Genomic DNA, 24,155 nt, shown 5'->3' with positions numbered 1-24,155 from the left:
AATGTTCTACATCATTTTCTCTTTTAAAAACATTTTGGTGATCATCTCATATCTATATATGAAAATCTTTTTTATTTCTTATTTACTATTCATAATATACCATTATATGTATACATTATAATTTCTATAAGCAGTATTCTGTTGATGGATATTTAGAAGACTACTATATTTTGCTTTTATAAACAAAGTTGCAATAAATAATCTTGTATACATTTCATTTTTTATATGCATGAGTAAATCTGTAGAGTATATTCTAAACGTGGAATTGCTGGTTAAAGGGTATGTGCACTTATAATTTTGATAGGCATGGTCAGAATGCCCTGCAAACAGATTTTATTTGTTTAAATGTTCACAATCTATGTATAAAAGTGTTTCCTTCAAATCTGAATTTATTTTAATATATTTAAGAGCTGTTTATATTTTCTTTCCTATGATCAGTTTGCTCACATTCTCTGCTCATTAATTTACTGAATGGTTGGGTTTTTTCTTATTGATAAATAGGAGTTCTTTATGTATTAGAGAAATTATATCTTTATTTCTTGTGCAAATATTTTCTCACCATTTTTTCTTGATTTCAATTTTATTGTGAGTGTTGCCATGTAGAATGTTTTCTTTAAATTTTTTGTACCAAGTTTATCAATTTTTCAGTGACCTCTGGATTTTGTTTCTACTTAAATTTTCTCACTTGAAAGAATAAAATATTTTTCATGGCTTTTTTTCTACTACTTTTATGATTGTATTTCTTATACTTAAATATTTGATCAATTTTAGATTTATTCTGGTAAACAATATAAATCTAAATTTATTTTTTTTTCAGGTAGTTACCCAGATTTCCCATAATGTTAGTATATAATCCATATTTTCAATGCTATTTTGAAATGTTCCTGTATCTTTTACTATGTAATTATATGTATTTGAATCTATTTCTGGAATTTCTTTTCTCTCTCATAAGCTTATCTGTCTATTCATGTACAAGCATCTTTTTTAAAAAAAATCTGTTAAATTTTTAATATATTTATAATATGTATTAAAATGTGATAGAATAGCTTCCTTTTCTTGATTTAGTTTTTCAGAAATTTTCTGGCAATTTTTACTTGCTTATTTTTCTGATGATCTTTAGAGATTAGCTTAGTCTTATCAACCCTCTCAAACAAATATATCAAATTTATAAATTAAGTGAAATTGACACTTTCATATTTTGGGGGTATTTCTTTGCAAATACATGGTATTCCTTCCCAGTTGTTTAAATGTGTATGTGTTCATGTGTGTTTATGCTATGTGTATATGTGAATATATGTGCATATTTTGTGACTCTTAGGAGCATTTAAAAATTTTCTTCACTTCTTATTTATTTCTGGTTAAGTGTCTTCCTAAATTTTTGTTGTTTTCAGATTTGATCTAATAAGAACACAGCTTCATGCCCAGGAATTACATATAAAACAGGTGTCTTAGTAGAGTTGAAATGAATAGTTTGTAATAAAGGAAGGAAACAAATCTAGTTTAAACAGGTAGAAAGATACTTAAACAGACCCATACAAGACAAACACAAAAATTACATTTGATACTCATGAAAAGGGGTAATGCTAAAATACCCCTGGTCACCCACTAGATTGGCAAAGATCATAAAGTTTAATAGCATACTGTGCCGATGAGGGTAAGTGACAGGCATTCTTATACATAATTAGTAGGTGGGTACGTTGTTAAACCTCACTGGAGGGCAATATTGTGATAGCTACTGCAGGAGACCAGAATATGCCACCTAAAAAAATGTTTCTTAAGAATTAGATGGTATCTCACTCTGTTCCCCAGGCTAAACTGCAGTGGCATGGCAGTTCACTGTGGCTTTGAACTCCTGGGCTCAAGGGATCCTTCCACCTCAGCCTCCCAGGTAGCAGGGACTATAGGGGTAAACCACCACACCTCGCTTTTTAAAGAAATCTTACACACAGGAGGAGCTCTGTAAACAGAGCAGAAGTTTACCTGTAAGCTTTTGTTAGGGAAATTGACATGTATAAAGGAAATGCCCGTTGGTAAAAGCATCTCCTCTCTGTACCAGGAAGAGAAAGATGAAATCACTAGAAACCTTCATCAGTGGAGAAGGCACTAACTTAAATCTGCACAGTAACCTTACCCTTGTTTTACCAAGTTTTTTTTCTGTGCATCTGCCCATAATAGGCCTTCCCCCATACCCTTATTTCTTTGTTTCAGTTGAAGATGATGCCTGAACTTAAAGCTACTTCTTAGGAAAATTATTCATTCACTGAGTGGCTCCCATTTATACATGAGGTATACATGTTAATAAACTTCAGTTTATTTTTCTCTTGTACATCTGTCTTTTGTTAAGGGGTCTGTTTCAACTAAGAACCTTAGAGGGGTGAAGAAAAAAGTTATTTTTTTTCCCTACAACTCTTTGAGTTTAAATGGCCTAATGTTCAGAGGCTTAAATCAAGTCTCAAGTCCTCCCTCCCTGTCTTACACTTGTTTAATAAAAAGAAAGCTACTGTTGCATTAAGGGCCAAATACTTTAGGCTATTATTTTTATTAATGTTTTAAAAATTTCTTCTCATGCAGTCACCCTGCAGTAAGCTATTGAGTTTCTGTCAAATAAACAGCAGTAGGAAAAAACTGTAAAGAAAACTGAAATGAGAATAGTCTGTGTTGGTGTTGCTGGTTTTTAACTTTATTTTCTAAAACGTAACCTGTAGCAAAATGGGAATATTGGGCTTTTACCATTACTTTCTCTTTGCTGATTAAATGCAAGAATGACTGGATGCTGCATAAAAATATGCTTATGTTTATGTAAGCTGTTTATGTTTACATTTAGGAAATCCTGGAAGAAGACTTTTTAGGAAAGGTGGAGGATGCAAATAGTGGGTTAAGAGTAGCTTTAGGTACCTGGGAATATTAACACAAAATTCCATTAAAAAATAAATATTGGTAGGGGTAAAGGGTGAGCTGCTTTTAATATTTTGAATTAATACAAAGGATACATTATTATTGATGACAAATAACAATTAGAAAGCATTTTTTTTCAACTTTTATCTTAGGTTCGGGGGTACACGTACTGGTTTGTTATACGGGTAAATTGAGTGTTGTGGAGGTTTGGTATACAGGTTATTTAGTCACTCAGATAATAAGCATAGTACCTGGTAAGTAGTTTTTGGATCCTCACCCACCTCCCACCCTCCACACTCAGGTAGGTTCCAGTGTCTATTGTTCCTTTCTTTACGCCCATGTCTACTCAGTGTTCACCTCCCACTTACAAGTGATAACATGCAGTATTTGGTTTTCTGTTCCTGCATTAATTTGCTTATGATAATGGCCTCTAGCTCCATCCATGTTGCTGCAAAGGACATGATCTCTTTCTTTTTTTATGGTTGTATAGTATTTGATAGTGTATAGGTACCACATTTTCTTTATCCAGTTCTCTGTTGATGGGCATCTAGGTTGATTACATGTCTTTGCTATTGTGAATAGTGCAGTGTTGAACGTATATGTGCATGTGTCTTTATGGTAGAATGATTTATATTCCTTTGGGCATATACCCAGTAATGGGATGGCTGGGTCAAATGGTTGTTCTGTTTTTAGTTCTTTGAGAAATCTTCAGACTGCTTTCCACAGTGGCTGAGCTAATTTACATTCCCACCAACAGTGTATAAATTTTCCCTTTTCTCTGCAACCTCGCCTGCACCTATTATTTGTTGTTTTTTTAATAATAGCCATAATTCTGACTGGTATGAGATGGCATCTCATTTGTTTTTGATATTTATTTCTCTACTGATTAGTGATGTTGAACATTTTTTCATATACTTGTTGGACATGTGTATGTCTTCTTTTTTTGTTGTTTGTTTGTTTCTTTGAGATGGAGTTTCACTGTTGCCCAGGCTGGAGTGCAATGGTGCAATCTCAGCTCACTGCAACCTCTGCCTCCTGGGTTCAAGTGATTCTCCTGTCTCAGCCTCCCGAGTAGCTGGGATTACAGGTGCCTGCCACCATGCCCAGCTCATTTTTTCTATTTTTATTAGAGAAGGGGTTTCACTATGTTGGCCAGGCTGGTTTCAAGTTCCTGACCTCAGGTGATCCACCTGCCTCGGCCTCCCAAAGTGCTGGGATTATAGGCGTGAGCCACCGCGCTCAGTCTTATGTCTTCTTTTTAGAAGTTTAGAAGTGTCTGTTCATGTTCTTCACTCCTTTATTCCCCCCGTCTTTTTTCTTTCTTTCTTTTTTGAGACAGAGTCTCCCTCTGTCACTGAGGCTGGAGTGCAGTGGCATGATCTCGGCTCACCACAACCTCCACCTCCCGGGTTCAAGCAATTCTTCTCCCTCACCCTCCCGAGTAGCTGGAATTAGAGGCACACACCACCACGTCCAGCTAATTTTTTTTTTTTTTGAGACAGAGTCTTGCTCTTTCACCCAGGCGGGACTGCAGTGGCGCTATCTTGGCTCACTGCAAGCTCTGCCTCCCGGGTTCACACCATTCTCCTGCCTCAGCCTCCTGAGTAGCTGGGACTACAGGCGGCTGACACTGCGCCCAGCTATTTTTTTTTTTTATTTTATTTTTTTTTTTTTAGTAGAGACGGTTTCACTAGCTATTTTTTTTTTTTTTAATTTTTTGTAGAGATGGGGTTTCACCATGTTGGCCAGGCTGGTCTTGAACTCCTGACCTCAAGTGATCTGCCTGCCTCGGCCTTCCAAAGTGCTGGGATTACCGGCATGAGGCACCACACAAAGGAACTATAGTGGCAGCCACCAGGAAGCACCCTAGTTGGGCATCTGAGACTGTGCTGAAAGTAGGCATGGCCAGGCAGGGACTCTGTGAGAGGGTGACAGACAGGAGGGTGCTCAGATCAGACTGGCTCCATCCCACAGGCAAGAAAGCCTTTTTCTGTCGAAGTCTGACAGTCAACAAAGACCAAAGCCACCTAGAGGAGTATGATGAGCCTTAGGGGATAGGCCTCCCTGGCCATGTCCCACTGCAGCTATTCCCACACCAAACCCTCTGGGCTCCCTGTAGGCTGGAGTTCTGTCCCTGCCATCTCTCCAAACAGCTCTCCCTGTCAGCTCAAATGTCCATGGGGGTCTCAGGGTCTCTGCAGCTAGGATTCCAGAGGTCTGTGGCAAGAGTGGGTCACTCCTCATCTGTTCAACTCACTTCTGCCCCAGAAGCTGCTGGGGGCCAGAAAGGAGTCATGGTGCTCAGCAGCCCAATGCAGGGTTCCCAGCTTCCTCCCACTTCAACCCAGGGTCTGCGTCCTCCCTCTGTCCACTCCAAATGCCTTCCCTCCAAAGATCTGCTTGGAGTGTGCCAGTCTTCTTGATGGTCTTGTCATTCCATGGTAGACGCTCTTCCTGGCAGCATCTAGTTGGCCACCTTGGCTAGAATCCCTACAAAGCTATTTTATTAGGTGAGTTGGGTGAGAACCTATTTAAAGATGTTGTTGAAAGATACCAGAATATGCCACCTCAAAATATGACTCTGTTACATAGAATATTCTGAGCTAAAGACAGTTGAGAACCTGCAGGTATAGGAAGAGCTCTTACCTTCCCCTAAATGCCTAACAATAGAATATAAATCTCCCCTTTTGTGAAGGATGTTTACATTTATAAAAGAAGTTTCCATTTGTAAAGATGTCTCCCTACCAGGAAGAAAGCTAATCCTGGAGACAACTGTTATCACCAGAGAGATCTTATCTGCATAACAAGACAAACCTTATTTACCATAATATCCTCCTCTCACCTTCCCTGCACAGAGCCCCAAACACCTTTTGTTTTGGTTAGCCTAAGATGGTACATAAGCCTCAATCATCTGGTTGTGTAGCAACCTGATGGGTTCTTGCCTGCTGCCCAGAAAAGCCAATTCACTGAGAACAGCAGTATTGCAGCAAGGAAAGAGTTTAATAATCACAGGGCCAGCCAAGTCAGAGGAGGAGAGGTATTTCTTAAATCCATCTCCCTAAAACTTCAGAGGCTAGGGTTTTTAAGGATATTTTAGCAAGCAGGGGGCTGGGGGAATTGAAACAATGACTGGCTAGGGATGAAATCACAGCGGTGTCTAAACTGTCTTTGTGTGGCTGAGTCACTTCCAAAAAGGGGCCTCAGGACCAAGTTTTGTCTCTTGGTCTGTCAAAATGCTAAATCTGAAAAATGTCTCAAAGACCAGTTTTTTAGTTTTCACAATAATGACGTTATTTATAGAGTAGTTGGAGAAGTTATCATTTCTTTTTTTTTTTTTTTTTTTTTTTGAGATGAAGTCTCACTCTGTCGCCAGGCTGGAGTGCAGTGGCACGATCTCAGCACACTGCAACCTCCGCCTCCCAGCCTCCTGAGTAGCTAGGACTATAGGCGCATGCCACCATGCCCAGCTAATTTTTGTATTTTTGGTAGAGACGGGGTTTCACCATGTTGGCCAGGATGGTCTCAATCTCTTGACCTCATGATCCACCCACTTCAGCCTCCCAAAGTGCTGGGATTACAGGCATAAGTCACCGCACCCGGCCATTATAAATTTTTGGACTTCCAGTTATGTGACTCTGGGGTCATAAGCAACTTATAGAAAAGTAAACTAAGGAATGGCAGGTTATTGTTTAACAACATATATATATATAATAATGATATATATATATAAAATAATGATATATACATATATACAGTGTCTTGCTGGAGTGTAGTGGCACAGTCAGCTCACTGTAGCCTCAAACTCCCAGGCTCAAGTGATCCTTCTGCCTCAGCCTCCTAAGTAGCTGAGACTACAGATGTGTGCCATCATGCCTGGCTAATTGTGTTTTTAACCTTTATTTTTGTAGAGATAGGGACTTAAGCAAAGTTTAAGTGCCTACAATAATTCTAACCTAGTCTTATGAAGTCAGCTTTAATCTCCAAACAAGGAGGGTGTACAGATTATTCAGGACTTTGTGTTCTTGTGAATATATGGTTCTTTTAATATTATGAAATATCACTCTTTATTGCTCTATATTTTTCTCATCTTAAACTCTACTTTGATATCACTTTAGTCACACCAGCTCTCTTTTGGCTAATGTTCACTTAGCATGTCTTTTTTACATTCTTTAAAATACTATATATTTTTATATTTATGGTGTGCTTTTTATAAGCAGCCATAATTGTATTTTTTTAAAAATGTGAACTGGAAGTCTTGTTAACTGAAGTGTTTCATCCATTTACGTAAAATGCAATTACTGATGTAGTTGGGTTTAGTCTCCCATATTGCTATTTGTTTTCTATTTTTCCCTTGTTTTTGTTCCTTTATTATACTTGCTTTGTAATAATAAAATACTTTTTATATTTCATTTTTTCTCCTCTGGTAGGCTTGTGTTATGTTTTTTAATATAATTGCTTTAGTGGATACGCTAAAAATTATAAGACACATGCTAACTTATTATGGTCTATCTTAATACCTTTTTGGCTTTTCCAACAATGTAAAACATCTAGAACAGTATACATCTATTACCCTCTACTCCACCTTTGCCATTTTTGCTATTGTCATATGCTTCTACATGTGATAATCCCCATAAAATACTGCAATTGTTCTTGCTTTAAACAGTCAATACTTTATATTTATCTACATATTTACCTTTCACAAAGATGTTCATTGCTTCTTGCACTTTCAACTTTTATTATTTTCTTTCAGTCTAGAACATGTTCTTTTATATTTCTTGCAGTGAAGATCTGTTGGTTGTGAATTGTGTCAGCCTTGGGTGTGTGTGTGTTTCAGCACTTCATTAGTTTTATCTTCTATTAGTTATTTTTTCTTCATACTAGAACTAAATATGTCTTCTTCAATCTAAGCTCTTTTCCATAATAAGTCTTTATAAGCTAGAAAACTTTCTACTGGAAAACTAATATAACTTATGTGGCTATTTTCAGATTGAGGTATCCATTCTTCGCTTTTCCTTCCACCCTAAGCATGGTCTTGCCCATTATTCCACAGGTAGGCAGGGAAGAGAAACAAATCAAAGACATATGAAAGTACTGAGGAATATACAAGCATTCTCCAAAAACAAAGTGAAGTTATTAGAATCATATTAGTACTAGAAATCAGTCTCTTTGAGACATTAATACCTTTTTCAATCTTACTTTTGTACTCTGCATTTTTTCTTCCAGTGTTCCTGTCTTATAATTTTATTCTATATGATTCATTTGGTGCTGTGGCAGTTTTCAAGTCTAAATTGGAAAATAGCCTCTTCTGGGTTTCTAGTTACAGTTACAAAAGCCAAATTTAAAACATGTGATTAGTGGAACCATGTCATATGCATATTTAACTCAGTCAACCATACATGCTGTACCAACTTAAAATGAAGAACACTTTGAACAGGGTGGAAGATTTTACCCACCATTTTCCTCAATGAACACATGAACCAGACAGTGTGAATTAGGACACATGAATCTGTCCTTGGTTCAGATGATCTTGGTTCCTATATGCCTCTGCTGATGTGAGTATCTTACCTCTCTGATTTCAGAGCCTGACCCCCGACAGAGCACAACACCATCATAAAAACACATTTACAGTTAGGTAGGTACTCTTTTAAATCCTACTATAAAATCCCCCAATTACCCAGTAGCATTTGCTGCCATATCATTTGGCCATCACAAATAATTTTCTCATAGAAGTGTGATTTAATTGGAGGCTATCTGCAACAACATGAAATGTATCCTTAAGACTTTATTATTAAATGGGCTGGGCGTGGTGGCTCATGCTTGTAATCCGAGCACTTTTGGAGGCTGAGGCGGGTGGATCACTTGAGGTCAGGAGTTCGAGACCAGCTTGGCCAACATGGTGAACCCTCATCTCTACTAAAAAACAAGTAAATAAATTAGCCAGGCATTGTGGCACACACCTGTAATCCCAACTATTCAGGAGGCTGAGACAGGAGAATCGCTTGAACATGGGAGGGGGAGGTTGCAGTGAGCTGAGATGATGCCACTGCGCTCCAACCTGGGTGACAGAGCGAGACACTAGCTCAAAAAAATAAGACTTTATTATTAAGTGCCCCTAATGGTTACCACCTTTTCTTTCACAGATATCATGAAGTAGGGTCACCGTTTAGCCAAGGAGAAAGACACAGAAAACAATGGGCAATATATAATACTCCATAAAAAGTACTATGCTAGAGACATGCACAAGTGCTTTATAAAGAAGGAATCTTAGTGCAAAGTGCCCAGAAATTAATAAGTAGGCAAATGGATTGAAGAAAACATTATAACCAATAGGAATAACAAGGACAAAGACTGTAAAACATCAAATTATGTGGCAGGTTTTTAAGGTGCAAGATATTTGTTATAGTTTAAAACCCAGAATATGCTGATGATAACAAAGGTTGGGAAGGAAGGTTATATTACAAAGTGAATTAAAATACTATTCCAGGAAATTTGGACCTGATCCTCTTGTTACAAAAAAGTCATCTTCTGGTTTTGTTCTTGTACATCCCTTGTGAGAAAATATGACCCAGTTAATTTTGGACTTCTGCACTCGTACCAGAGATAGGGCTTGAGTTTAGATGTCCCAGCTGAAATTCTGCACTCTTTCTACTTCATTCTATTGCTTTTCATGGATAGGATACCAAGTCACTTTTTATATCTACAGATAAGGCTAGTCTTGTTATTATTTGCTCACTACTGCTCTGGTAGTGATCATCTGTCCTCCCCCATTTTATGAGATAGTCTGAACTCTGACAGTGAATCTGGGCCTTTCTTTCATTTGGAGCTTAAGATGGTGGCAAGTCTACAAAGTTGTCAAAAGCAGACACTTGGAATGTAGAATTACAGGGCTGCGAAACTGATGTGGAAAATTCAAAACACCCTGCACTTAACACAATGCCAGAGCTGATTAGTGCAGTTTATTGCTAAACCCCAAGGGACACCTGAAGGCTTTTACCTTCAGTCTAGAACCCCTGGCCTGAGTGAAGGTGTAATGCTGCGTTAGTTCCACACTCTTTCTATTAGAGCTTACTCAAAGCTGCCGACACCAGATGTGTTACAAACAAACATTAATTCTCCTCCGGCATCTGGATCGTATGTACAATAAGGGGCAAGATTTATGCCCTGCTGAAGCATTCCCCGGTTTTTAGCACAGAAGTGATTGAACTCCAGATGTTAACAAGATGCAGCGACCTTTTAGTATTATTAAAAACATGATTTCTTGTTTTGCTCATGACAAAAACCATTGGATTAACTTATTAGAAGTGGAGCTGCTGTCCTGCTCATTGGAAGCTGTGTCTACTTTAGCTATTGGAGCTTGTCGTCAAAGATTTTATGAAGAAAGAATGACTCATCAGCTCCTAAAATCATCAACTTTTAAAGTTTCTTTCAAAATCATGGGTTACAAAGACAGAAATTCTCTGAGAACTGCAAATAGATTCAGAAAAGAATGTAAGTTAAAACAAGTGTTTGTATGAATTAATCAAATGAGCATCTGTTCCCTTTCAATAATTTTATTGTTATTGAGAAACATGGAACTGTAACCTAAAAGCCTTAGAGCTAGAATTGTTCTTCAAATATTATCTCTTCTGCCCTGTCCTCCTTTAGCCCTTCTCTTTCTCTACTTTCAGAAAGGCAGAGAATAATCTCATTTTAAAGTCAAGCAAATGGGAGCAAAAAAGATCCAATACTTTGATATTTACTGTCTCAAAATTACTAGTGAACTCACTGAATTCAGATCAGCTATTTTAAAAGTACGGTATCCTCAATGATAAAATGTACTTTGCCCATAGTTTATTCTTCCATAGTTGGAATGAGTCTTAAATTCAATGTGAATGTTTAATGTTTGCTTATTTATTGTGCCTAAAGTTGTTATTTATAGTGCATATGACAGTCAATGACATCTTAGAATAAGAAAGTATGTTAACTTTTGATTTCATTAAACAAAAAATAGTAAACAATCATCTAGTATTTTTACTACTATCATAATCAGGGAATCTATGAAAAGTGTTATCCTGATCAGAAAATGCCTTCTTTTGGAGATACTCATGTTATGGTGTTCTCAGCCTTACCTATTCAGGATGAAGGAGGCACTAAGATGATTTTAATATAAAACTTTAGCATAGAAAATATAATCATGTTAAATAGTTTTTATTAATCATAAATTTAACCTACTATTTACAATATAGCTTTCAAGAATTTGTGGACTTAATATCTAAATGGTTTATGAATTGTAAGACCTTAAGTTTTCACTCTGCTTCAATTTCTTTGGTTATTTATTCTGTTCTATTGTTTGCCATGATACACTTCATTATTTCCTTATGTCTCTTGGGGTGACTTTGGAGAGTACAATAAATATACCTGTAACATATATAAATAAAAAATAGTGAGCACCAGTATTTGTTCCTGCTTCCAAGTGGCTCCTGAGGGAGGATGAGCTAAATAGGTGTGCAGCGGACCACTCTCTCCATGGACCTCCAGAATCCTGGCTGCAGGAGACCTGCCAGCAACCCCCATGGACATTTAAGCTGGCAGAGAGAATGGCTTGGAGAGTTAGCAGGGACAGGATTACAGTCTGCAAGGAACCCACAGGGTTTGGCATGGGAATGGCTGCAGTGGAGCATGGCCAGAGATGCCCATGCCTTAAGGCTTGCCATGTTCCTCTAGGAGGCTTTGGTCTTTGTTGACTGCTGTACCTGGACAGAGCAGGGATATTTTGCCTGTGGGACAGGGCCAATCTGATCTGATGACTCTCCTGTCTGCCACCAGCCTCTCCCGGAGTTCCTGCCTGGCTGAACTTGTTTGCAGTGCAGCTTCAGATTCCCAAACAGGGTGCTTCTTGGTGGCCACTGACATAGTGAGATGACCCTGCCTAATCATCAGAGAGCTTTTGAAGATGTACCCCTGCCAGCATGCACCTGCCTGCAGCTGCACTCCACTGATTTGCCATAACACACTTGTCTGTAGCCTCCCATGACTGCTTTGCTGGCATGCACCCTGGTGCCACTGCCCTAAGTGCTTTGTCTGACACTCCCCATCGGAGTGCTATTGCCAGTAGACAGGGAGTACCTCAGTCCCTCCAGCAGAGCAGGTGCTTAACTTTGAGGAGTCTGAGAAAAAAAGCTGTGGGCCTGATCCCAGGCCCCCAGGTATACAGCATGCAGCTCAGAAGTGCTGAGCTGAGGCTTGGCCCCCTGAAATCATTCAGAAATGAAGCCAGTTGACTAAACCCAGCTTAAAACCACAGTCAAACCCTCAAGGGCATCAGAGAATATAAAAGCAAAAAGCCCTATTGAAAAGAAAGCAATGCAAAGATTAAAGGAATATCAGCCCACAGAGATGAGAAAGAATCAACATAAAAGCTCTGGTAACTGTAAAAGCCAGAATGTCTTCTTACCTCCACATGACTGCACTAGCTCCCTAGCAATGGTTCTTAACCTGATTTAAATGGCTGAATAGACTGACATAGAATTCAGAATCTGGATGGCATTGAAGCTTGTTGAGATTCAGGAGAAAGTTGAAACCCAATCCAAGGAATCTAAGGAATCCAGTAAAACTATTCAAGAACTGAAAGACAAAATAGCCATTTTAAGAAAGAACCAAACTAATAGAGCTGAAAAACTCACACAATAATTTTATAATACAATTGGAAGTATTAATAGTAGAATACAGCAAGCTGAGGAAAGAATCTCAGAGCTTGAAGATTGGGTCCTCCAATCAACTCAGTCATATAAAAATAAAGAAAAAATAATTTAAAAAATGAACAAAACCTCAGAGAAATATGGGATTATATAAAGAGACCAAACCTATGATTCATTGGTATCCCTGAAAGAGAGGGATACAGAGGAAGCAACTTGGAAAGCATGTTTGAGGATATTTTCCATGAAAATTTTCCCAGCCTTGCTAGAGAGAATGATATTAAAATTCAAGAAAAAGATCCAAAGAAACACAATCAGAAATGACAAAGGGGACAATCCTACTGATCCTACAGAAATAAAAAAAAAAAACCCTCAGAGAGTACTATGAACATCTCTGTGCACACAAACTAGAAAACCTAGAAGAAATGGATGAATTCCTGGACACATACAACCTCCCAAGATTGAACCAGGAAGAAATTGAAACCCTGAACAGACCAACAGAGTTCAGAAATTAAATCAGTAATAAAAAAACCTATCAACCAAAAAGAGTCCCTAACCAGATAGATTCATAGATGAATTCTGTTAGATGTATAAAGAGCTGATACCAATCCCACTGAAACTATTTCAAAAATTGGAGTAGGATACACTCCTCCCTAACTCATTCTATGAAGCCAGCATCATTCTGATACCAAAACCTGGCAGAGACACAACAAAAAAAGAAAACTTCAGGCCAATATCCCTGATGAATGCAGATGCAAAAATTCTCAACAAAATACTAGCAAACCACATCCAGCAGCATATCAAAAAGCTAATCCACCATGATCAAGTAGACTTTATTCCTGGGATGCAAGGTTGGGTCAACATATGTAAATCAATAAATGTGATATATCACATAAACAGCTAAAAACAAAAACCACATGATCATGTCAATAGAATGTTGAATTTCAATAAAATTCAACATCCCTTTATGTTAAAAACCCTCAATAAACTAGGCATTGAAGATACATATCTCAAAATAATAAGAGCCATCTATGACAAACCTACAAGCAATATCATACTGATAGGGCAAAAGCTGGAAGCATTCCCTTTGAGAACCTGAAGAAGACAAAGATGCCCACTCTCATCACTCTTGCTTGACATAGTTCTGGAAATCCTAACCAGAGTGATCAGGCAAGAGATGAATAAAAGGCATCAAAATAGGAAGACAAGTCAAACTGTCTTTGCAGATGATATGATTTTATACCTAGGAAACTTGATAGTTTCTGCCCAAAAGCTTCTATATCTGATAAACAACTTTGGCAATGTTTCAGAATACAAAATCAATGTACAAAAATCAGTAGCATTTCTATACATCAACAATGTCCAAGCTGAGAACCAAATCAAGAATGCAATCCCATTCACAATGGCCACAAAAGTAATGAAATACCTTGGAATACAGTTAACAAGGGAAATGAAAGATCTCCATAATGAGAATTTAAAAACTGCTGAAAGAAGTCAGAGATGACACAAACAAATGGAAAAACATTCTATACTCACAGATAGGAAGAGTCACTATTGTTAAAATGGGCATACTGCCCAAAGCAATCTACACATTTAATGCTATTCTTATCAAACTACCAAAAACATTTGCCTCGAATTAGAAAAAACTATTCAAAAATTCATATGGAATCAAAATAAAGCCTGAATAGCCAAAGCAACCCTAAGTGAAAAGAATAAAGCTGGAGGCATCACATTGCCTGACTTCAAACTAAACTACAAGACTATGGTAACAAAAACAGCATGGTACTGGTACAAAAACAGACACACAGACAAGTGGAACAGCTTAGAGAACCCAGAAATAAAGCTGCACATCTATAATACAGCCATCTGATCTTTGACAAAGGTTACAATAACAAGAAATGGGGAAAGGACTCCTTATTTAATAATGGGTGTTGGGATAACTGGCTAGCCATTTCAGGAGATTGAAACTAGACCCTGTCCTTTTACTATGTACAGAAATCACTCAAGATGGATTAAAGATTTAAATGTAAAACCTAAAACCACAAACCCTGGAAGAAAATGTAGGAAATACTATTCTGGACATAGGCCCTGGCAGAGATTTCATGATGAAAACTACAAAAACTATTGTAACAAAAACAAAAATTGACAATGGGACCTAACTAAACTAAAGAGTTTCTGTACAGCAAAAGACACTATCAACAGACTAAACAGACAGCCTACAGAATAGGACAAAATATTTGCAAACTTTGCATCTGACAATGATGCAAAGTGCTTGGATTACAGGCGTGAGCCACTGTGCCCAGACATCTTGCCCCAATTTCTAATGGGCTAATTAATTAAAATATAACTTCCAAGCAAATCATCTTGAAATAAGAATCATAGTATTAGTTTGTCCTTGTGGCTCATCTTTTAAGCAGAATTTTTATAAGTAAAATTCTAGAAAAGTAGGGGCCGCATATAAATAACTTCTTCCTGTATCCTGTAACCTAAGCCAATATTGCTTTCTAGAAATCTTTCACAAGGAACTGATACAAGTGTGGACAAAGCTTTATGTGTAGAGGTGATGACTGGAATGTTATTTCTAAAAATGATAAACTGAAAATCTAAATACCAAACTATAAGACAAATTTTTATTAAAATAATAAAGGATCATAGGGATCATTAAGCTAGAAAATTTCTGCAAATAATTACTGATGGTATGCATCAAGTGCTTATAAATGGTACAGGTAGAGAAACAGGCATCAAATAATACATAGAAAAAATCTTGAATATGAATTAGAAATTTGATAAAATTAGGAGTAATTATAACAAAATTGGATGACAGATTTATAGACTTTTAAATAGATTTTTCTTTAAAATCAGCATCATTGGAATATAAATGACATACAATAAAATGCACATATATTAGGTGAACAATTAATAAGTATTGGCAAACATATAAACTCATATAACAATCACTTGAATTGATAAAGAATATTTTTATCACCCCCAAAATTTCCCTTATGCCCATTTGCTGTCAGCATCCCTTCCTTTACTCAGTGAAGTATCTACTGACCTTCTTTCTGTCACTATGTATGTCTTGCCTATTCTAGATGTCATATAATGCAATGTGTAACAGTATAATGGAATACACATACAGTATAACAGTATGTACTGTTTTGTTTTTAACTTTCTTAAGTCAACATAATATTGTTGAACCTTAGCCTTGCTGTTGCATATGTCAGCAGTTCATTTCTTTCTTTCTTTTTTTTTTTGTTCCTTTGGCTAAGTAGCATTCGTAGTTTGTTTAGCCTTTTATCTGTTAATGGAACTTTAGGTTTTTTCCAGGTTGGAACCATCATGAATAAAGCCGTTATGAGCATTTGTATACAGATTTTTTTTGTGAATATATGTTTTCCGTTTTCATGGGTAAATACCAAGAAATGAAATCACTGGGCCAAACGGTAAGCATACTTTAATTTGACACATATTGCTAAACTCTTTTCCAAAATGATGCATCTTTTACACTTCCATCATCAATGTATAAAAATTTCCCTTACTTTTTATTCATAACAACAATGAATACTGACAGTTTAAATACCTTTAAGCCATTCTAAATGCCTGTCTAGTAATATCTCATTGTGGGCTTGATTTTTGTATTTCCTTGATTACAGATTATATGGACCATCTTTCCCCCTATTTATTTACCATTTATACATTTTCTTTTGCAAGCAATTGGTCAAATCTTTTGCCCATTTTCAAAAAATTGGGTTGCTTCTTTTCTTATTATAGAGTTGCAAAAATTTTATATGTATATATTTTGGATACAAGCCTTTTATCAAATATATGTATTACAGATATCCCCCCACATCCCTGTCTATGGCTTGCATTTTAATTTCCTAATTTTCTCTTTTGGAGAGTTAAAAAAATTTTTTGATAAAGTCAAATGTATTGTTTTTTCCCTGTTATGTTTTAAAAAGTTTGTCTTCTTGGTCAGTCTAGCCAGATGTCTATATTTTATTGATCTTTTAAAAATAAGTATCTTTTAGATATTTGGTTTTTCTCTGATTTTTTTCTTCTCTATTCCATTGAGTTTTGCTCTTGCCTTTATTATTTTCTTTTTTTCTATTTTATGCTTAATAGTATAATTGATTTCTAGCTTCTTAGAATGAAAACTCAGATCACTGATATTACATATTCTTTTCTAATACAAGCATTAAAACTATAAATTTATCTTCAGGCAATCACTTAGCTGTATCCCATAAATTTTGATATGTTGTGTTTTCGTTTTCATACAATTTGAAATATTATCTTATTTGCCTTTAGATTTTTTTCTTTCATTCATGGGTTATTGAGAAGTATATTGTTTAATTTCTAAGAATATGGAGATTTTTCATATGTCTTTGTGTTATTAGTTTCTTATTTAAATTTGTTGAGGTCAGAGGGCATACTACATATGATTTGAATCCATTCAACTTATTTAGACTTGTTTTATGTCTCAGCATATGGTCTATCTTGGTAAATGTCCAATTTGCATGTGAAAAAAGTCTATCCTGCCATTGTTGGTATATGTCAATTAGGTGTCACATTGGTTGATAATGTTCAAGTTTTCTAGACTGATTTTCTGTCAACCTGTTTTATTACTAGGAGAGATGTGTTATTACATCCAACTATAATTGTGGGCTTTTCTATTTCTCCTGTCATTTTTATTAGTTTTTATTTTACGTATTTTTTAAGCTGTATTATAAAGTGCATACACATTTAGGATTGTTACATCTTTTCGATGAATTGGCTCTTTTGTCATTATGAAATGGCCTTGTTATTCCTGATAGTATTCCTTGTTCTGAACTACATTTTGCCTGATATTAATATAGCCATATAAGCTTTCTCTTTAGTGTTTCTGTGGTATCTTTTTCTATTCTTTCACTCTTAACCTCTGTATATTCTTATATTTAAGGTGTTTTTTTTTTTTTAGAAAACATAGAGTTGTGTTTTGCTTTTTTATCCAATGTGACAATCTCTGCCTTTTAATTGAGATGTTTAGGTCATCTAAACAGTGTAATTATCAATTGATAATTGATAATTATTGAGTGTAATTATCAATACAGTTAAGTTTAATCCTTTCATCATATTTGTTTACTATCCTAAATATTTCTTCATTTTTCCTGTTTATATATTTTTACCATTTTCATGGCTTTTTGGGTCTTAATTGAGTATATTTAAATATTCTATTTCCTTTTTTTTGCTTATTATCAATGTGGTCTTTTTTTGTAGTGATTACTCAAGTTTTATAATAAGCATCTTTAACTTCTTTAAGTCTGCCTTCAAATAATATACTACTTCATGTATAATGTAAGACTCTTACTACCATACAACTTTATTTGCATAAAATTATGTCATAATTGTGCTAATATTGTCATAGATTATATTTTTACACACATTAGCCTTCAATACATTGTTGTTACTGTTCTAAACAGATTTTAAAAAGTAAAGTAAATTACAGTTAAATAAAGATTTCTCATATTTATCCACATATAGCATTTTCAGGGCTTTTCATTTTTGTTATAAATCCAAGTTTCCATCTGATATTCCTTTGGTCCTAAAGAACTTCCAAACACATTTCTTTTAATTCATGTTTTCTAGTGACAAATTCTCTCAGCTTTTGTTTGTATTTAAATGCTTTTAGGTCATGTCCATGTTTGATGGATATTTTTTCTGTATATTAGCTTCTAGGTTGACACTTTTTATATCCAGCACTTTTAAGGCGCTGTTTCATTGTATTCTTGCTTTTTTATTTCTGAGAAGTCATTAATCATTCTTACATTTGTTTCTCTGAATTTAATGTGTCTCTTTATTTCTGGCTGCTTTTAATATTTTCTTTTTATTACAGATTTTCAGTAATTTGATAATGATAGGACTTCCTGTGGTTCTTTTTGTTTTTATTTTGCTTCTTGAATGCATGGGCATTTTTGATATATGGGTTATAGTTTTCATCAAATTGGGAAACTTCTGATTTTATGTATTCAAATAGTTTTTCTCCTGGGAATCCATTTACATGTATGTTAAACTATGTGATATTGTTCCACAGTCACTGAGTCTCATCTTTTTCTTTAGCTTTTTTTCTCTGTGTGCTATAGTTTGGATAGTTTCTCTTGCTATGTCTTCAAATTCATTGATCTTTTCTTCTGTAATGTCTAATTGGCTGCTATTCCAGTCTAGTGAAGTTCTGGACATGAACTTCAGTTTTAGAAGTTCAGTTTCACTCTTCTTTAGTTTAGATTTCTCTTGTTCTTATGTTCATGCTTTACTAACTTCATGATCCTATTTATTATAGCTGCTTGAATATCCTTGTATACTAATTCTACCATCTCTATCATTGCTGCATCTGTTTCTATCAATTCATTTTTATTTTGGTTATGGTCATAATTCCTGGCCTATTGCATATTTAGTATTTTTTGATTGGTTGCTGACCAATGTGAATATTACATTGAAGAGTCTGTGTATTTTGTTTACTTCCTTTTGAAGAGTGTTAACTCTTGTTTTGAGTGCCAGCTAGATAAATTGAGGTTTCATTTAATTTTTTCAGGCTTATTTTTAAACTTTCTCAGTGCAGGTCTAGAGTTGCCTGTCTTCTGGAGCTAGTTTAGTCCTACAACTAAGGTGCAATATTTCTTGAGTCTCTGTTGTATGGTACAGATGTTCTAAAAAGTCTCTTCCCTCTGGATGACTGGAATTTCAAATGTGGTCTCAAAAGTGTTTTCACGGAGACAGCTGGGGAATTGTAGAGCTCACTTCATTTTCCTACTCTCTTGTAGAGAATATAGTCATGTATCTGAAAAGAGTTGTTTCTTATATTTTGTCGAGTTTCTAGTTGTTTATAAGAAGACAAATCAGGTAAATGTTATTCTGTCACTGCCAGGAAAGTAAATTTGGTCATAATATTATTAAAAAGATACTTTTTTATAGACTTTTAATTTTCAACAATTAACATGTATTATTCAACAAATATACACAATATTATTGTGTGAATTTCCTTATTTTTTCTGTAACAATTGAAGCTTTGAAGAATACAAATTTATTACCTTAGAATTCTGTAGGTCAGAAGTCCAGCAAAGTCCTACTGGACTAAAATTAAGGTGTTGAATGGGCTGCATATCTTTTAGGGGTCCTAGGGGAGAATCTGTTTATTTGCTTTTACAGGTTGCCTGCATTCCTTGGCTCATAGCCACTTTTTTAATCTTCAAATTAAGAGGCATAGCATCTTCAAATCTCTAACTCTGACTTTCTTGTCGTCTTTCACTTAAAAGGACCTGTGATTATAGTAAGCTCAACTGGATAATCCAGTGTCATCTTCCATCACAAGATCCTTAAATTTATCATCTTTGCAGACCCTTTTACAATGTAAAGTAGCATATTCAAGGTCCCAGGGGCTAGGAAATAGACATCTTTGGGGAACCATTATTCTGCTGACCACAATTATTAAAGTTTTTGTTGTGAATTATTGGGAGAATACATCATCATTCTTAGAATGTACTGTAAGAAGAGATATCTATTGATATACACCCCACATGATCTGAAAGACACTACAACACTTAGGCTTTGATAACACCTAAGCAAATTTAACTATTCACTTTTCTAAGGCCGTGTAAACTTGATATGCCTGCTTATGTCACAGTGGATAATGCCTAGTCCACAAGGTAGATAGCATATTTGCAGACTGTTGGAATTTGCTAAATATAGCCCTAACTTTTGTTTCCAGGTCTCTGAATTTCTCTAACCTACCCTTGATTTATTGAGACATCTCTAAGTATATCTGACAGTAGTAATTTTTAGAGCTATTACTACTCCCCAAGTACTGTGCTGAAAATTTTATTCTTAAAAGTTATAATAGCAAAATATTCTTCTTGTGACATTCTATATCTGTAGGTAGGACCATGTTTTTCTGAACTGAGGCTTAAAACCGTAGTCTCTTTTGTCTGATTTTTATCCTGATTTTTACTTTATCCACTGAATCAATTGTCAGATTTTGTAGACTTTTTCCCTAAGAAATCTCCCTAAAAATTTCTCATACGCTTGTTTCATTTTAATTCCCACAGCCATAACTGTATTTCAGGCTCTTGTTCCTGTATTTGAATGATCACAAATGTCTCCTAATGAGCCTCCTTGCTTTTATTCTTTTTCCAAACCACCACTGCTAGATGAGTCTTCCAAAAGATGCATTCTTACTAAAATATTTTTTAGACTTTCCTCAATTTCTATTGGATGAAAATTTAACTTTTCATTATGATATAAAAAAAACCACACTTTCATTTTAACAATTTAATTCCTCCATGTCTTATCACAAACTCAACTTCCTTTTATTTTGCTCCCTTTAACCATTCTAGTTTTCATCAACATTAATAAGTTTTTATGGTGGTCTTTTGTGGAAATGTTTTAGCAATTTATTAAACTATGATTTATCTTTATCAAATGATTTATCTTTCTGTAATTATATACTTTCTATGTTTTATACTCCAACTAAATTTTTGAAGGGCAGAATTCATGTTTTGTAGGTCTTTGAATCCTTTACAATATCTGGAACTAGTATTTAATACACGTCTACTTGTGGGTAAAGGAGAATGGGATTCAAGTCTACATTTTTTTCCAGGGTTTCTTCTGGTGGAGACAGGGGTGGTCATATGAAATAATCAATGTTTCCTAATAAGTAAGTTTCAATAATAACTAGTGTGCATATTGTTTTTAATTTTTTAAAAAACTAGCATTTTGTTTTTGTATCTTCATAATCATTCTTTAGGGTTAGGATAGATATCCCCATTTTAGCAACTATGTGATCTCCATAAAGCAGTTCAATTCATGATGAACAGAGCCAGGTCTCCCTACTCCCACTTCTATGTTCTTCTATTCTACTCTCTGACCTCTCAGAATTTCTTATTTTATTTAAATATTTTAAGTCTCCATGCAACAACCTTAGTAACCACACAGACTATGTTGATCATTTTTCTCTAAAACTTAGCTCATTCTTTTGGTTCTCTTTTGGCAGAATAATCTTCCTGTAGCTTATGAATCAAATCTACTTTGTTTTTACAGTAGAATCTAAAAGACTCCTTACTATTTTTACTACACAGCCTTGTATTCTCCATTCCTCTGTTTCAGTTTACTTTTTTTTTTTTGTATAATACAAACTAAGAAATGCAAAGTATATTTGGATTGTCTTAAAATTCTCCCAGATACCTCTGTGGTTGACTCATTGTTAAACCCCATGGTAACTCCAGTTTGTTTGGCTAAACTCAGGACTGGGATTTGGGGAATTATGATAATTATGGCTCATCTTATGATCCCAGGCCAAGTATTTCATTTTTCTTTGCTTTAGTTGCTTCATCAGCAAAAGGTAAAATCTATTGTGTGTAACCAGAAGGTCGAATACAAAGGATAGAAAAAGTTGCATGCAGTTTGTGAACATAGGATACATATAAAAGCTAAGTATAGTCATCTCAACTGCCACAGGGGAATAGCATTTTAGATCTTTCTCCCAGGAGCTCCAGCAGTACATACATATCGCAGCCCCATTTTCCACACCAACTCACATAATACATTTTTAAATAATAAAACTGAGAGATTTCAGGATCTCAGATATTGAGATATTTCAAGATGTCAATAATATTAGTGATGATGATGATGATGAAAATGGTAGTTACAAATTGTTGGGCCTTGTGTACCATGTTTTGGGATTTATTATCAAAACTGTCTTTATACAAATCTGTGAGGTATATATTCTTATATCCCTTCTACAAAAAAACAAAAACAACTGAGGCTCAGTCAGCATAAGTGGCTTCTTTGAAGTCACAGAACTAGTGAGAGGCAGAGCCAATCTTCATCTCTATGACCCCAAGTTTGAGCTCATAACCAGCATACTGTACCACTTCTACTACCAAGGCACTAGGTACACAGCAGTGAGCTGTGAAGAGGGAACTACTCTTGTTCTTATGACAGTTTGACTCATTTTATAGTGACTAATTTAACTCATTAAGGTAATGATATGTTAAGAGACTATACGTTAGAAAATAACGGTAAGTTTTAGCTTACTTATATTTTGGTTTAAGTATATGATCCTATACTCTCTTTGCTGGTCTTCCTTCCTTCCTTTTTCCTTCTTTCATTCCTTCCTTCTTTCTCCTTATCTTCCCCTTCTTCCCTCCTCACTTTTTTCTGCCAATTTAATGGCTTTGGACTTCATCTGTAATACAAGAAGTATTTATTAAATTATGGTTTACTTCCAACACCTTTTCACCAAGTCTCCATTATATTGTAGCAATATTTTGGAAATGTTCAGGACAAACTCATGACTTTCTTGACATGGCATCTGATTTGAGATAATCTCAAGTATTAGGCAATTGGTTACTAATATTATAACTTTTATCTAAGCAGGTGTTCCCCAAGTTCGTTGGTATTGAAGCAGAGTTTAAGACATTTTAGCAACACAACAGGGAATCTGCTTTGCTCTTACAACAGAACCTAACCTTCATCTCTTGGCTGTAGGGCAGAGACTTGGCACACACAACTGCACACAGGATAGGCAGTCACCCAGATGGCTCAGAGATATTTATATATTCATTACATATTAATTGGCCTCCTCTCTTGTTGAGGTATCAAGACTTTTGGCTCTTTTTAGATCCTACCAACCTATTCATTGATTCCATAACTAAGCAGAAGGCATGGGAGTGAACAAACATATAAAACTCCCTAATTTCATGGGGCTTATACAATATGTGTATGTTATCCATATTTGACAATCTTCTTTTTCTTCTTCTTTTTAATCTCATTTTTATTGCCCTTTTCCTTTCCCCAAATTTTTTCTTTTTTTAAAAATTATACTTTAAGTTTTAGGGTACATGTGCACAATGTGCAGGTTTGTTACATATGTATACGTGTGCCACGTTGGTGTGCTGCACCCATTAACTCGTCATTTAACTTTAGGTATATCTCCTAATACTATCCCTCCCCCCTCCCCCCACTCCACAACAGGCCCGGGTGTGTGATGTTCCCCTTCCTGTGTCCATGTGTTCTCATTGTTCAATTCCCACCTATGAGTGAGAACATGCGGTGTTTGGTTTTTTGTCCTTGCCGTAGTTTGCTGAGAATGATAGTTTCCACCTTCATCCATGTCCCTACAAAGGACAGGAACTTATCATTTTTTATGGTTGCATAGTATTCCATGGTGTATATGTGCCACATTTTCTTAATCCAGTCTATCATTGTTGGACATTTGGGTTGGTTCCAAGTCTGCTATTGTGAATAGTGCCTCAATATACATACATGTGCATGTGTCTTTATAGCAGCACAATTTATAATCCTTTGGTTATATACCAAGTAATGGGATGGCTGGGTCAAATGGTATTTCTAGTTCTAGATCTCTAAGGAATCGCCACACTGACTTCCACAATGGTTGAACTAGTTTACAGTCCCACCAACAGTGTAAAAGTGTTCCTATTTCTCCACATCCTCTCCAGCACCTGTTGTTTCCTGACTTTTTAATGATTGCCATTCTAACTGGTGTGAGATGGTATCTCATTGTGGCTTTGATTTGCATTTCTCTGATGGCCAGTGATG

At 35.6% G+C, this 24,155-nt stretch overlaps 1 long non-coding RNA gene across 1 annotated transcript in view, besides 1 other annotated feature; it reads left to right on the top strand.

The window, feature by feature from the left end:
* GORAB-AS1 (GORAB antisense RNA 1) overlaps window positions 1–24,155 on the top strand; it is a 71,293-nt gene that overhangs the window by 39,176 nt on the left and 7,962 nt on the right. The gene's annotated exons all lie outside the window — the stretch shown is intronic.
* Window positions 5,363–6,078: an enhancer, noted in NCBI's record as "OCT4-NANOG-H3K27ac hESC enhancer chr1:170456497-170457212 (GRCh37/hg19 assembly coordinates)". NCBI's record gives its function as "activates a minimal SCP1, AML or CMV promoter by ChIP-STARR-seq in naive and primed H9 embryonic stem cells {active_cell/tissue: H9 hESC(naive and primed)}" and the evidence as "EXISTENCE:reporter gene assay evidence [ECO:0000049][PMID:30033119]".

Source organism: Homo sapiens, chromosome 1 (assembly GCF_000001405.40).
Source record: "Homo sapiens chromosome 1, GRCh38.p14 Primary Assembly".
In the NCBI taxonomy this organism is placed as follows: domain Eukaryota; kingdom Metazoa; phylum Chordata; class Mammalia; order Primates; family Hominidae; genus Homo; species Homo sapiens.
The sequence above is the reverse complement of the archived record's forward strand: the minus strand, read 5'-3'. Positions and strand labels throughout refer to the sequence as shown.